This window comes from Homo sapiens, chromosome 2 (genome assembly GCF_000001405.40).
Source record: "Homo sapiens chromosome 2, GRCh38.p14 Primary Assembly".
NCBI classification, from domain to species: Eukaryota; Metazoa; Chordata; class Mammalia; order Primates; family Hominidae; genus Homo; species Homo sapiens.
In genome coordinates this window covers 25,132,367-25,145,494 of record NC_000002.12, presented here as the reverse complement: position 1 = coordinate 25,145,494, position 13,128 = coordinate 25,132,367, and the positions used below count along the sequence as shown (strand labels likewise).

The 13,128-nt window shown below is 50.7% G+C and overlaps 1 protein-coding gene across 2 annotated transcripts in view, besides 2 other annotated features; it reads right to left on the bottom strand.

The window, feature by feature from the left end:
* The window catches only part of EFR3B (EFR3 homolog B), a 117,060-nt gene that overhangs the window by 13,641 nt on the left and 90,291 nt on the right, over positions 1–13,128 (bottom strand). For both annotated transcript variants that reach the window (NM_014971.2, NM_001319099.2), the window contains exons 11-19: positions 12,481–12,592; positions 12,061–12,112; positions 9,856–10,028; positions 8,897–8,972; positions 7,993–8,154; positions 6,305–6,436; positions 4,062–4,129; positions 1,633–1,760; positions 444–535 (exon numbers count right to left, since the gene is read on the bottom strand). In NM_014971.2, coding sequence (NP_055786.1) covers positions 444–535; positions 1,633–1,760; positions 4,062–4,129; positions 6,305–6,436; positions 7,993–8,154; positions 8,897–8,972; positions 9,856–10,028; positions 12,061–12,112; positions 12,481–12,592 — 995 coding nt within the window. The remainder of the gene's footprint in view (positions 1–443; positions 536–1,632; positions 1,761–4,061; positions 4,130–6,304; positions 6,437–7,992; positions 8,155–8,896; positions 8,973–9,855; positions 10,029–12,060; positions 12,113–12,480; positions 12,593–13,128) is intronic.
* Positions 7,638–8,137: an enhancer, noted in NCBI's record as "H3K4me1 hESC enhancer chr2:25360227-25360726 (GRCh37/hg19 assembly coordinates)". NCBI's record gives its function as "activates a minimal SCP1, AML or CMV promoter by ChIP-STARR-seq in naive H9 embryonic stem cells {active_cell/tissue: H9 hESC(naive)}" and the evidence as "EXISTENCE:reporter gene assay evidence [ECO:0000049][PMID:30033119]".
* Positions 8,138–8,639: an enhancer, noted in NCBI's record as "H3K4me1 hESC enhancer chr2:25359725-25360226 (GRCh37/hg19 assembly coordinates)". NCBI's record gives its function as "activates a minimal SCP1, AML or CMV promoter by ChIP-STARR-seq in naive H9 embryonic stem cells {active_cell/tissue: H9 hESC(naive)}" and the evidence as "EXISTENCE:reporter gene assay evidence [ECO:0000049][PMID:30033119]".

Sequence of the window (13,128 nt, the reverse complement as noted above, 5' to 3'; positions counted from 1 at the left end):
TCAGGTGATTCTCCCACCTCAGCATCCTGAGTACCTGGGACCACAGGTGCACGTCACCATGCCTGGCTGATTTTTCAATTATTTTTTGTAGAGATGGGGTCTCCTTATATTGCCCCAGATCATCTCAAACTCCTGGGCTCAAGCAGTCCTCCTGCCTCAGCCTCCAAAATGTTGGGATCACAGGTGTGAGCCACCATCCCCAGCCAGGCCTTTCAAGAGTGAGTTTTATGATATCCTCATGGGAGCAGGGAGGACCCTAACAATTTTTCCGAAGGGAAGTATCTATGACGCATACGTGGGGAGAGTCAGTACAAGTGTGGAATTACTCGAGAAACTTGCTTTCCATGCAGCCTTAAGCCCACTATGCAGGCAGGGGAGCCTGGAGTCCAGCGTCCAATCTACAGGAGGTGGGGCTGCCCCAGGACGGTGGCACGGACACTCACCTCCTCCTTCTCCGGACTGTTCCTCGATTCTACCTCCACCTGCAGGGAGATGGTCTCTCCAATGCTCCTCCTCTTGGATAAACGATCCTCATCTGGGGAAGAAGCAGCCCAGAGGCTTTAGTTCCCAGCCCTCAGAGATCCAGGACTGAGCTGCTAGTCCCACCTCCCTACCCCTCTGCCTTTGCTTGGTCCACAGTCCTCTAAGGCTCAGTGCACACTCAGGCTACACTTGGAGTTTATAGAAGCTTCCGATTGCTGTGGGCCTTCTCTGTCCATCTTAGGGTGGTCAGTTTTGTTCTTTGGGGCTAAAATTTTGAAATCGTCAACGAGAACACAAAGAAGGTGCTTATGACCAGAATACATATCTCACCTTATGTGTAAGCATGATCTGCTAAGAGCACCAGTAGCTCTTCATGAAGCATTTACTAAGTGCATTTGCATTAATACAGGTACCTTATCATGCCAGCCCTCTAAGGCAGCTATTGTTTTTGTTTTTTTGTTTTTTTTTTAGACGGAGTCTTGCTCTGTCGCCCAGGCTGGAGTGCAATGGCGCGATCTTGGCTCACTGCAATCTTTGCCTCCCGGGTTCAAGCAATTCTCCTGTTTCAGCCTCCAGAGTAGCTGGGACTACAGGCACCCACCACCACATGCAGCTAATCTTTTGTATTTTTAGTAGAGATGGGGTTTCACCGTGTTGCCTAGGCTGGTCTTGAACCCTTGAGCTTAGGCAATCCATCCGCCTCAGCCTCCCAAAGTGCTGGGATTACAGGTGTGAACCTCTGCACCCAGCAGGCAGCTATTGTTAAATTCCTGTTTTACAGTCAAGGAAACTGAAATTCAGGGATGCAAAGGACTTGTCTAAGATCTTTCAGGCAGTAAGTTGCACAGGGGTCTCAAACTGGGTCTCTGGTTCCATAGCCATATATGCTCTTTCCAGCACAATGGAACCTCTCCCATCCTCAGGCCAGGCCATCTCATGGGCCAGGTACTTCCAAGGACCCTGTCCTGAGGAGGAGAGGTGGGGCAATCAAGAGGACCTCACCATAAATTTCCACTGTGTCTTTCAGCTCTCACGACATCCAAGGTGCCTCACAGGCAATCAAAGGGCTATAAGTCCCTTATGCTCAGGCCCTTACCTGGCCAAGTAAAGACAGAGGCAGGCCCGGGCATCCCTGCACAGAACTCATACCTGTCAGCTGAGGAATGTAGGGCAGGCAGAGCCGGTCCGAGTTGTAGCCACTGCCTCCCAGGACTTCACTGATCTTGCTCTGGCGGAAGAGGAGCTCAATGACCACCCCATCAAGATTCTGAGACAGCCTGGAAGATGAAGGAGGGAGAAAGTTCGTTAGAACCGCGGTATCTAGAATGACTTCTGAACAATTTTTTTTTTTAAGACAGGGTTTTGCTCTTGTCGCCCAGGCTGGAGTGTGGTGGTGCGATCTCGGCTCATTGCAACCTCCGCCTTCCAGGTTCAAGCGATTCTCCTGCCTCAGCCTCCCGAGTAGCTGGGATTAAAGGCACCTGCCACCACGCCAGGCTAATTTTTTGTATTTTTAGTAGAGACGGAGTTTCATCATGTTGGCCAGGCTGGTCTTGAACTCCTGACCTCGGGTGATCCACCCGCCTCAGCCTCCCAAAATGCTGGGATTACAGGCGTGAGCCACCATGCCCGGCCAACTTTTCTTATTAAAAAAGTAACATCTTCACTATGCAAGATGACAGAGAAGCAAAAGGAACAGTCACCCCCAGTCCCATTTCCAGAGATAACCACTATTCATTTTATAATATATTCTTATGTACAACAATCACATCCTTCAGTCACTTTTTTTTTTCTTTGAGACGGAGTCTCGCTCTGTCACCCAGACCGGAGTGCAGTGGCACCATCTCTGCTCACCGCAAGCTCCACCTCCCAGGTTCACACCATTCTCCTACCTCAGCCTCCAAGCCTGGCTAATTTTTTGTATTTTTAGTAGAGACGGGGTTTCACCATGTTAGCCAGGATGGTCTCGATCTTCTGACCTCGTGACCCGCCCGCCTCGGCCTCCCAAAGTGCTGGGATTACAGGCATGAGCCGCCATGCCCAGCCTTTTTTTTTTTTTTTTTTTTTAAAGACAGGGTCCTCACTGTGTTTCCCAGGCTGGAGTGCAGTGGCTATTCACAGGCACCATCATAGCACACTACAGCCTTGACCTGCCAGGCTAAAGTGATCTTCCTGCTCTGCCTCCCAACAGGTACGCTCCACCATACCTGGCTAATTTTATTTATTTATTTATTTATTATTATTATTATTTCTTAGACCAAGTCTCTCCCTGTTGCCCAGGCTGGAGTGCAGTGACATGATCTCAGCTCACTGCAACCTCTGCCTCCCAGGTTCAAGGGATTCTCCTGCCTCAGCCTCCCAAGTAGCTGGGATTACAGGCGCACGCCACCACACCTGGCTAATTTTTGTATTTTTAGTAGAGACAGGGTTTTACTGTGTTGGCCAGGCTAGTCTCCAACTCCTGATCTCAAGTGATCTGCCCGCCTCAACCACCCAAAGTGCTAGTGCTGGGATTACATAGGCATAAGCCACTGTGACCGGCCTAATTTTTTTTTTTTTTTTTTAGACAGAGTCTTGCTCTGTTGCCCAGGCTGGAGTGCAGTGGCATGATCTCGGCTCACTGCAACCTTTGCCTCCTGGATTCAAGCAGATTCTCCTGCCTCAGCCTCCCGAGTAGAGTAGCTGGGACTACAGGTGTGCGCCACCATACCTGGCTAATTTTTGTATTTTTAGTAGAGATGGGGTTTCACCATGTTGGCCAGGATGGTCTCGAACTTCTGACCTCAAGTGATCCGCCCACCTTAGCCTCCCAAAGTGCTGGGATTACAGGCGTGAGTCACTGTGCCCAGCCCGGGCAAAATTTTTAAACATTTTTTGTAGAGATGGGTTCTTGCTTTGCGGCCCATGGTTGTCTCGAACTCATGGGCTCAAGAGATCCTCCTGCTCAGTCTTCTGAGTCGCTGGGCCTGCAGGCGTGAGCCACCGCACCCAGCTTAGTCCCGTATTTTTAAATATACACAGATATCCCCTTCCCCACCCGCTGTTCTGTGATCTATTTTATTGACCTATTTATGTAATGGGTATTTTACATTAAATATTCTTCTAAAACATTGTCATGATTGTCTACTGTATGGATGGGCCATAATTTATAAAGCCATCCCCTACTGTTAGACATTTTGGTTTTGCAAAACATCTTTCCCTTGAGTTCCTCTGATGTTGAAATGACACTGGCCCACAGCACCCACTATGATCCGAAAACATTACTTGGATTTACAGTAATGTCTTGTCAGGAATGACTCCTCCAGGATGCATTTAGCATGGGCTTGGCCAAAGCCCCCGGAGGCTGTGTCTCATCTGCAAACATGGCTCAGCATTGCATGCTCGAGGCATGGACTGCAGTAATGTGATGGGGTTGAACTTTACCCAGGACTCCTGGACCACAGGCAGAGCCCACCTTCTGCCCTTGAGTCCACAGAAGTCTGAGCCTCCTGGCATTGACCCCTCCTGACCTCAGACCACCCACCTGCTTACTCAGCTGCCCTGGGGATCCCTGACCACGTCCCCCGTCCTCTCCTCACCTGGGCCTCTCCACAAACACATCCTCGGGGAGCATGTATGGAGCCTCTTTCTTCCTGGTCTCTATCACCTGGCGGTTGGGAGGAATCAGATAAGAGCTGGTTCAGCAGGGAGAGGGAGCTCACAGGCAACGAAAGAGCTCCCATGCCCGGCTCGGTGCTTCCTCCCTCCCACAGCCTCCTCAGCACAGTGTCCTCAGCTGAGCTTTTCAGTGGAAACTCGCATCAACAGGGACCCTCAGGGCAGCCTGAGAAGCTCAAGCTGCCTGCTCAGGCCATGGCCATCAATGACACATGTGCACTAAGTGTCCTCCAATGCAGGGAACTTAACTCTTAAGAGACTGCAGCTGCTGGCTCCAATGCCTCATTCCTATGCTTTTTTTTTTTTTTTTTTTTGAGACGGAGTCTCGCTGTCTTGTCCAGGCTAGAGTGCAATGGCACAATCTTGGCTCACAGCAGCCTCCACCTCCCAGTTTCAAGCAATTCTCCTGCCTCAGCCTCCCGAGTAACTGAGACTGCAGGTGCATGCCACCACGCCTGGCAAATTTTTATATTTTTAGTAGAGATGAGGTTTCACCATGTTGGCCAGGCTGATCTCAAACTCCTGACCCCAAGTGATCCACCTGCCTTGGCCTCCCAAAGTGCTGGGATTAAGGCTGAGCCGCTGCACCTGGCCTCATTCCTGTGTTTTTTATTTAAACAGGTACAAAGGAATGTAGTTCACACCTTGTCCCAAACCTGGGTACTGCAGTACCCAAGTGCATTGCAAAACACCCTGATGGACAGTGACATCTTGAGCTTTACTCAGTACTCTTTGCAAATTTTTGACAAGAAAAGTGCAAGTTACTAAGGTGGTAAGAAGTGGAGGGATGGTCAACATACAGGTGTGTGTCGAGGGTGAGGAGGTAAAGGTCCCACAATTGTCAGGCAGAGGATGTCTGGGCATTGCCTTTCTTATACTCCCTTATCAGCCCAGAAGCTGGAAGACTCCTGCTTCCCTTTGAGTGGTCTCTGTCACAGTCACGGCACCCTCCCCTGTGACTCCCAGCCAACCCAGGCTAGTTAAGACCTAAATTTTCTTGTTTTGTTTTATTTTGTTTTGCTAATGTATTTCATTTTATTTTATTTTTGAGACAGAGTCTTGCTCTGTCACCCAGGCTGGGGTGCAGTGGTGCAATCTTGGCTCAACTCCATCTCCCAGGTTCAAGCGATTCTCCTGCCTCAGCTTCCTGAGTAGCTGGGACTACAGGTGTGCGCCACCATGCCCAGCTAATTTTTGTATTTTTAGTAGAGACGGGGGTTCACCATGTTGCCCAGGCTGGTCTCGAACTCCTGATCTCAAGTGATCCACCAGCCTCGGCCTCCCAAAGTGCTGGGATTACAGGCTTGAGCCACTGCGCCTGGCTTGCTAATGTATTTTAAAGTTAATCCTACATGTTGGTATCATTCAACCTCTAAGCACTTCCATGTGTTTTAAAAGATCTTTATGCAACAACTGAGAACACATTTGACTATAGAATGGGTGTCAGATAACACCAAGGAATTACTGATCACTTAATGAGCTGTGTTAAGAGCATGGCAGTCATGTAGGGAGGTGTTCATGCTGTTTCAGGCATGCAGACGGATATACATAGAGTGAAAGGACAGGATAGCTGGGATTTGTTTTAAAATATTTGTTTAAAGTATTTAAAATTTGTTCAGCAAAGGAAAAGAAAAGGAGACAGATGAAGCAAATGGGGAGAAATTTTCATAACTGTTCATTTCATATGAGTGGGCGTGAACAGATGTTCATTCACCATTCTACTCGGGCCACCTTTGCGGTATTTGATAGCTTTAGTCTGCATGATCTGAGGTCACTTTTGCGGTATTTCATAGCTGTAGTCTGCATGATCTGAGGTCACTTTTGCGGTATTTCATAGCTGTAGTCTGCATGATCTGAGGCATGTGTGCGGGTGTGCTCCCGTGAGTAGGGGAAAGACAGAGGGGCAGGAAGTGGAGGGGGCAGACAGTATTAGAAACAGGTATAGAAGACCCCCCCCAACCCCTGTGCCTAACCCCACCCTGCTTTGTCAAGTCATACAGGAGGGAAAGATGCCACGAGTAACTTCTCACCATTAGTGGTTCTTACTTCAACCCTGTCTTCACTGCCTAAGTGTAGGTACAGGACTAATGCAATTAAGGAAAAGCTGTTCCCAGGAAACCCCAAGTTGAGGGCCCCCTGAGCTCTTGGTCGTGAGAACACCAACCTCATGGATGTGCTGGCAGAAGGCAGGCACTGTTGTGAGCTGACTGATGAGGTTCAGGTAGGCTGCGCCCAGAGCATAGAGGGCACAGCGGTTGTAGACAGGCAAGTTCTCCTCATTGACTTGGGCCACGTCCTGCGGCAACATAGACAAGGCCTCCGGAGTTTTTCACTGACAGACTACACTGGGTGCCAACGCTCCACCCGACCTCTTCCCAATCTTCTTTAGAAATGCTTGCTTTCCTAGACTAAGTCTTTCTCAGCATTTGACCCAAACCTTCCTGGGGGAAAAAAGTCACCTTCATTAAAGCTGAAGGGAGGGGTCCCTAGAACAGTCCGTGAACTGGGAGGCTCTTGAGTACTCACAGACTACAGAGGCAATGACCTCAACTCCCCACTCTGCAGTTCCAGCTGTGGCGACCTTCACTGCCCAAACCCTGGTCGTTAATCCCACTGCCAGGGTGCTGTCTCCTTCACTATAGCGGATTCTTAGAGGACTGGATTGGCTTGCTAAACTGGGCTCATATGTTAAGCTAAATTAGCTGTGGGAGTTACCAGGGGATTGGGATATAAAGGAACCCCAAGTTCTAGTTCTTGAGGGTAAACAGAATTTAAAAATTATAGCATCTAGGCTGGCCCTGCAGGATTTAGCACCAACAGACAGGTGGTCTGAGACTGTCACTGAATTCCCAGGCTTGCCCCGATTCAGGAATATGATGCCCTCCTGGCTTCAGGACCCTGGAGACCCAGCCTTTGAGGTCCAAAGGACCCACCCTGACTCCCAGTAGCCTTGGGTGTACACACGCACCCAGGAAGACCATGAAAGCCTCAAGCCCTGTCCGGTGCCACACTGGCTGCCTGCGCATCGCAAAGGAGGCTTGGTAGACAGGTCCCCAGGCTTCCAGACTCTGACTTACCTTCCCAGGAAATAGACACTTTAAACAAGTGCTCAAAGCAATTCTGAAGCACAGCTCCATTTGGGAACTAGAGAATCTTTTTTTAATTTTTAATTTTTTAAATTTTTAGATGGAGTCTTGCTCTGTTGCCCAGGCTGGCATGCAGTGGTGAAATCTCTGCTCACTGCAACCTCCACCTCCCTGGTTCAAGTGATTCTCCTGCCTCAGTCTCCCAAGTAGCTGGGACTACACGCATGCACCACCACGTCCGGCTAATTTTTGTATTTTTAGTGGAGACGGGGTTTCACCATGTTGGCCAGGCTGGTCTTGAACTCCTGACCTCAAGTGGTCCACCCACCTCGGCCTCCCAAAGTGCTGGGATTACAGGCATGAGCCACCACGCCCGGCCAAGGGAACCAGAGAATCTTTAGACAAATGAGTTTGTCTGGGATCACTCAGGGCTTATGAGCATCCTTTTAAGAATCCCTGGAGTCTCACTCAGACTCTGCGAGAGACTTGACATGTAGTAGCTAAGGGATGTTTCTGAACGACCCGGTTCCCTGGGTCTTCTTTAGCTTAAGGACGGGCCAAGACCATGAATGAAGCATTCTTTGGGGTTCCCCAAACAGGACCATGGTTTGGGGTCTTCAGGGAGGCGTGGCCAACCACGAGTACAATATTCCTGGGCTCCAAAACAGTGTTAAGCAGTTGCTAGTCAATACTCTTATCAGGGCTTGCCCAAAACAAGTCCCTCCCCTGATCCCAAGCCCCATGCCCTGCGCACACCAGGCCCCACCTGAACAGCCAGCACCAGACGGATGAGGTCCACCACCACCTCCTCGTTAGCCAGCTCGATGCTGATGAGGGCCAGCAAGCCATAGAGCGCCTCGTAGTGTTTCTGCACGTTTGTTTCCTCCTTGCAGCTCAGGTAGATGTGTCTGTAGAGCTGCTGGGAGTGCTGGGGACAGGAGCGGGCAGAAGGCCAGGGTCGGAGGGATGGGGACAGGAGGGGCAAGGAGAACACGGAGGAAGACCAATCTGAAGGGGGGCAGGATGGCTGTGTGCCCCCTCCTCCCTTGGGGAGGGGATGCCTTTAAAGCGGGCTCTGGCAGAAGCAGACACACACAGGAAGGCTCACGTAGGGAAGGATGGGCTCCAGTGAAACCAGCACCAGAAGCTGCTGCCCAAATCCAGGTGTAGGAGCAGAACACAGTCACTGGCCCTGGACTGGCTCATCACTCTGGGCTTGACTCCTCAGAGAGGTCAGCTTAACACATAGCCACAGAGGGAGGAGACGTAGCTACAGAGAGAGGAGACAGAGCTACAGAGGGAGGAGACATAGCTACAGAGGGAGGAGGCAGGCTCCAAGGGCAGTCAGTGGTCAGCAGTGACTTTTGCTCTGTCACCCAGGCTGAAGTACATTGGCACAATCTCGGTTCACTGCAACCTCCACCTTCTGGGTTCAAGCGATTCTCCTGCCTCAGCCTCCCGAGTAGCTGGGATTGCAGGTGCCCACCACCATGCCCGGTTAATTTTTGTAGCTTTAGTAAAGATGGGATTTTACCATGTTGGTCTGGCTGGTCTCGAGCTCCCCACCTCAAGTGATCTATCCGCCCGCCTCAGCCTCCCAAAGTGCTGGGATTGCAGGCGTGAGCCACCGTGCCCGCCCTTCACTGTGCCTGGAGGTCATGCTTGTTTACCTTCTTCATGAAGACGGTGTCCTGTCGAGAGCACTTGTCCACTTTCAGCTTCAGGACAGAGATGTCACTGAGGGTACTGGGAAGGGATGCAAAGGGCCTCCTTAGCCCTTGCATGAGGCCAGCCTGAGCTCACACGGGGTCACTGAGCTTTATCCCCAACATTGTTAGTTGGTACAAAGCCTCCAGTGCTCCCCTGGCCCTGGTTCTCAGCCCGATTACCTTTTCCTCCCAAGTTCTCAAGAATTTGTCCCTTTATCTCTCTCTCTTTTTTCCTTTTTGAGACAGGGTCTTATTCTGTCACCTAGGCTGGAGTGTAGTTGTTCCATAATCACAGCTCTCTGCAGCCTTAACCTCCAGGGCTCAAGCAATCCTCCCAACTCAGCCTCCCAAAGAGCTGGGACCACAGGTGTGAGCCACCACACTCGGCTAATTTTTAAATTTTCTTGTAGAGATGGGGGTCTCACTATGTTGCCCTGGCTGGTCTTGAACTCTTGGGCTTAAGTGATCATCCCACCTTGGCCTCTCAAAGTGTGAGATTACAGGCACGAGCCACCGCCCTGACCCCCTTTCTCTTAAATCTTCATCCTGATTATTTTCTTCCTCCTCTTATTCCCCCCAAATCCCTTCAGTCTCTACTGATAACCTGCATCCCCTTCCTTCTCACACTTGCAACTCCCTTTAATGCCTACTCTCTATCTTCCAAATCTTCAGTTCACCCTCCTGCTCTCCCAGACACAAGTGCCCTTTAGTCTCTCCTTCTCTTGCAGGACCCCAGGGTCAACGTTGGTGATCAACTCCTGGTGAGTCTCACTGAGTATCTGAATTGTGGGATACTCAGATCCCACAATACTCAGATACTGAGGTGGGAACCTGGGTGTGAGGACAGGACCAAAGGATAGGACCTAATGGAGAGTCCTCTCCCCATCTTGCATTGCCTGGAGGAGACACCCCAAGTTCACCTGATGGTAGAGAACTTGTGGCGGTTGCCATGACGATCAATGAAACTGATGAGAATCTCTAGAACAAAGAGTCGAATTTCTGCATCCTCCATGAGGGCGGTGGAGAGAAGGCGGTCCAGGAAGTTGCTAGGCAGGGCTGACATCATGTTGTTGCACTGGAAACCTGTGGATACCTGCAAGGGAGGTATGGACAGCTATGCCTAGGAATGCTGTCCCTCTCAGGTGCAGGAGGAGATGGAGGAGCAGCCAGAGGAAGTCAGGTCTGATGTACACATCCTCTCTAGACATCGCCCAATCCAGCCTCCCCTACCCTACAGCCCAGGCAACTCTTTGAACACTCCAACATCCACCTAGATGACACCGAGCTCAGTAGACATGTGAATGGATGGGGACAGCGTGCAGGGACATTCGGGTGTTAAAAAGCAAGCAAGGGATGAGCCCTGGAGGGAAGCGGGAGCCAGGCAGTCTCTGAACCTAACATTCCAGCCAGTTAGGGCACAACTGATGAACAGCCACCAGGAACACAATGCCTCATTAAGAGTATGACCATCACAAAGAACGAGACAGTGGAAGAACTCACAGCTGGGCTGAAGGATCAGAACTCACACACACGGCAACCACCAAATAGTGCACATAGGTAGTATTTTGTAACATGTCTGTTAGCCTGGCAATAATGGCGCTTTGTGACTAAAGCCAGTTTGGCATAAATAGATATGCCATACATGCTGTTGTCAAAGCATTCAAATGCAGCAAAGCACCTTTACTGTTAAATCCATATTGTAAAACAATGCTTTTGATGATTCAGAAGGTCCCTAAGGATGTACCCCAAACTGTTATCTTAAGAAAATGCTGGGTACAAATTAATGAGGATAAACTCAGCAAAGAAATGGCAGGAATATGGAGACCAAGGTGATAACTAAATGAGGGCAGTGTTGGAGCACAAAGGGTTTATAAAAATCTAGTGCCATGAAGAGTGTGGACTGGAGGGGAGGGAAGGGAAGGTGTGAGGTGGCGGCGGGGTCGGGGGAGTTCTGTTTAGATTGGCATGGCCAGAACTGAGACAGAGATTGAGAGATGAGACAGGAGGTCTAGGGAGGGAGAGGGGACTGGGGACCTCCCAACTTCAGTCTGAGAAGTTTGAAATCTGGTTGTACATGAATTATAAACTGAGGCCGGGCACAGTGGCTCATGCCTGTAATCCCAACACTTTGGGAGGCCGAGGCAGGTGGATCACTTGAGGTCAGGAGTTCAAGACCAGCCTGGCCAACATGGTGAAACACCGTCTCTACTAAAAATACAAAAAAATTAGCTAGGCGTGGTGGTGGCATGCGCCTGTAATCCCAGCTACTCAAGAATCACTTGAACCTGGGAGGCGAAGGTTGCAGTGAGCCAAGATCGCACCACTGCACTCCAGCCTAAGCAACAAGAGCGAAACTCCATCTCAAAAAAAAAAAAAAAAAAATATAAACTGAGACCTACTGTGAAATAAGAGGCATCTGGTAGAGAACAGCATTTCTAGACAATTACTGTTGTAGCTGAGTTTCTGACAGGTGGGGAGAGGTGGTTGTGAGATGTCAGGTTTAGGCCAGGGGTTGTGCTTCAGAATACCTGGGGAACTTGTTACAAATACAGATTCCAGGACCTCACTCAGGCTAACAGCTTAAAACCTCTGAGGAATCATATATTTATCACAAGACTGTCATCGGAATGGTGTTTGAGAGCAATGGATCTAGACTCCAGTGATGGCTGCAAAGATGTAAAGAAGAGTTAAATAAAACACAGCATGGGAAGGATGGGGGCTGGGAGACTGAGGTGGGCACATGTGCCAAGAACACGTGCTGGCAAAACAGGGGACACAGAGGGGAAAAGGGAAAGAGGGGGTACCAGGAGGGAACCAGGGCGGGAACCAACAGATTCCGTCTCAAGACAGATCACGTCTGAGTGACAACGCTATCAGTAGCCAATAAGGAACCTTTGTGAAAATTAGAAACAGGTTCCCCATTTGCTGTGGCTGACCCAGCTCTGTGGGTGCCCAGCCTGGCTAGTGAGTGGAACGTAGGCTAGATTTCAGCCCCGACTCAACCGACTGGGTGTATTTGTGCAGTATGCCACATGCACGACTGTATGTGGAGGCCTTCACTTGGTCCCTTGGAAGGAGCTGTCTCCTGCAGAGGAAGAGCAGGAATGGGGATAGATGGGGCTCACCTGCAGGAGGGATTTTAGCAGCATAATCTGGGTCAGACGGTTCCTATTCTCCCTGTAGACCAGAGACACAAACACTCACCAGGATGGTAATAGGGCAGAGGTCACACACTTGCCAGCTTAGTTCTACCCCAATTCGTTTCTCCATGAGGCTTATCGTGTTGGGTTACCCAGGACAGTGACTTCCGGACCCAGGAAGCCGACCAAGAGATGACTGGCTCCCCCCACGTTGGGAGGTGGTTATTGGTGGGGCAGCCTGAGAAACTGTGGGATCCAAGAGCCCCATTAAAGGCTGCTGAGGGATTTGGGAGTAAAAAGAGAGCAGAGGGCAGAGCCAAGAAAATTAAGAGGGATAAAGGAGGGGGTCAGAAAATGCAGCTGGGGGAGAGGAGGACTCCAGGCTGGGGGAGATTGGTGGCTCACCCCGTCCTGCCTGTGTCCACCGCCTGGTGCAGGGATGGCCGCGGGACCTTGCTCATGATGAAGAGGATCACCTCGGAGCGCTGGTAGGTGGGCAGCGTGCTGGCAAAGGAGCCTGCAGGAGGTGGCGGAGAGGGTGCCCAGTGAGGCACAGGCTCCAGGGCCCCTCCTGGTTCAGCCTTTCAGCTGCAGAGAGCGAGGGCTGCCTCTCTCCGGAGTCAATCCAGGACCAGAGAAAGGGATTCAGGATAGCCCGGGTGTGATTCGGCCTCTCCAGGAAAGGGAGGCATCAGGTGGTTTTGGAGGTCTCTTCCAGGCTCCGTTTTTTCACTTGTTCCTGAGGCTGTGGTTAAGGTCTTGACTCCTTGGCTAGGGGGTGGGGATGGTGAATGCTGGGCCCTGGGACCAGGGCGGAGCGGGGGGTCGGGGGGAGCCCGAGTTCTCGTTGGGTGCTTCTTTCACTGGCTGCCCTAGGGTAAATCCTCCTCCCACGAACTAAGAGAGAAGAATGGTTCTGCATTCCTAACCTGCCTACTCCAGGCTGAAGGGAAGCTCACATGGCTAGGGCAGGCAGGCTGTGAAAGAGGCTTTATCTAATCTCCGCTCCCAGGAGCACACACATTTTCTCCGCGGCTGGCCCCCTTCCTCATT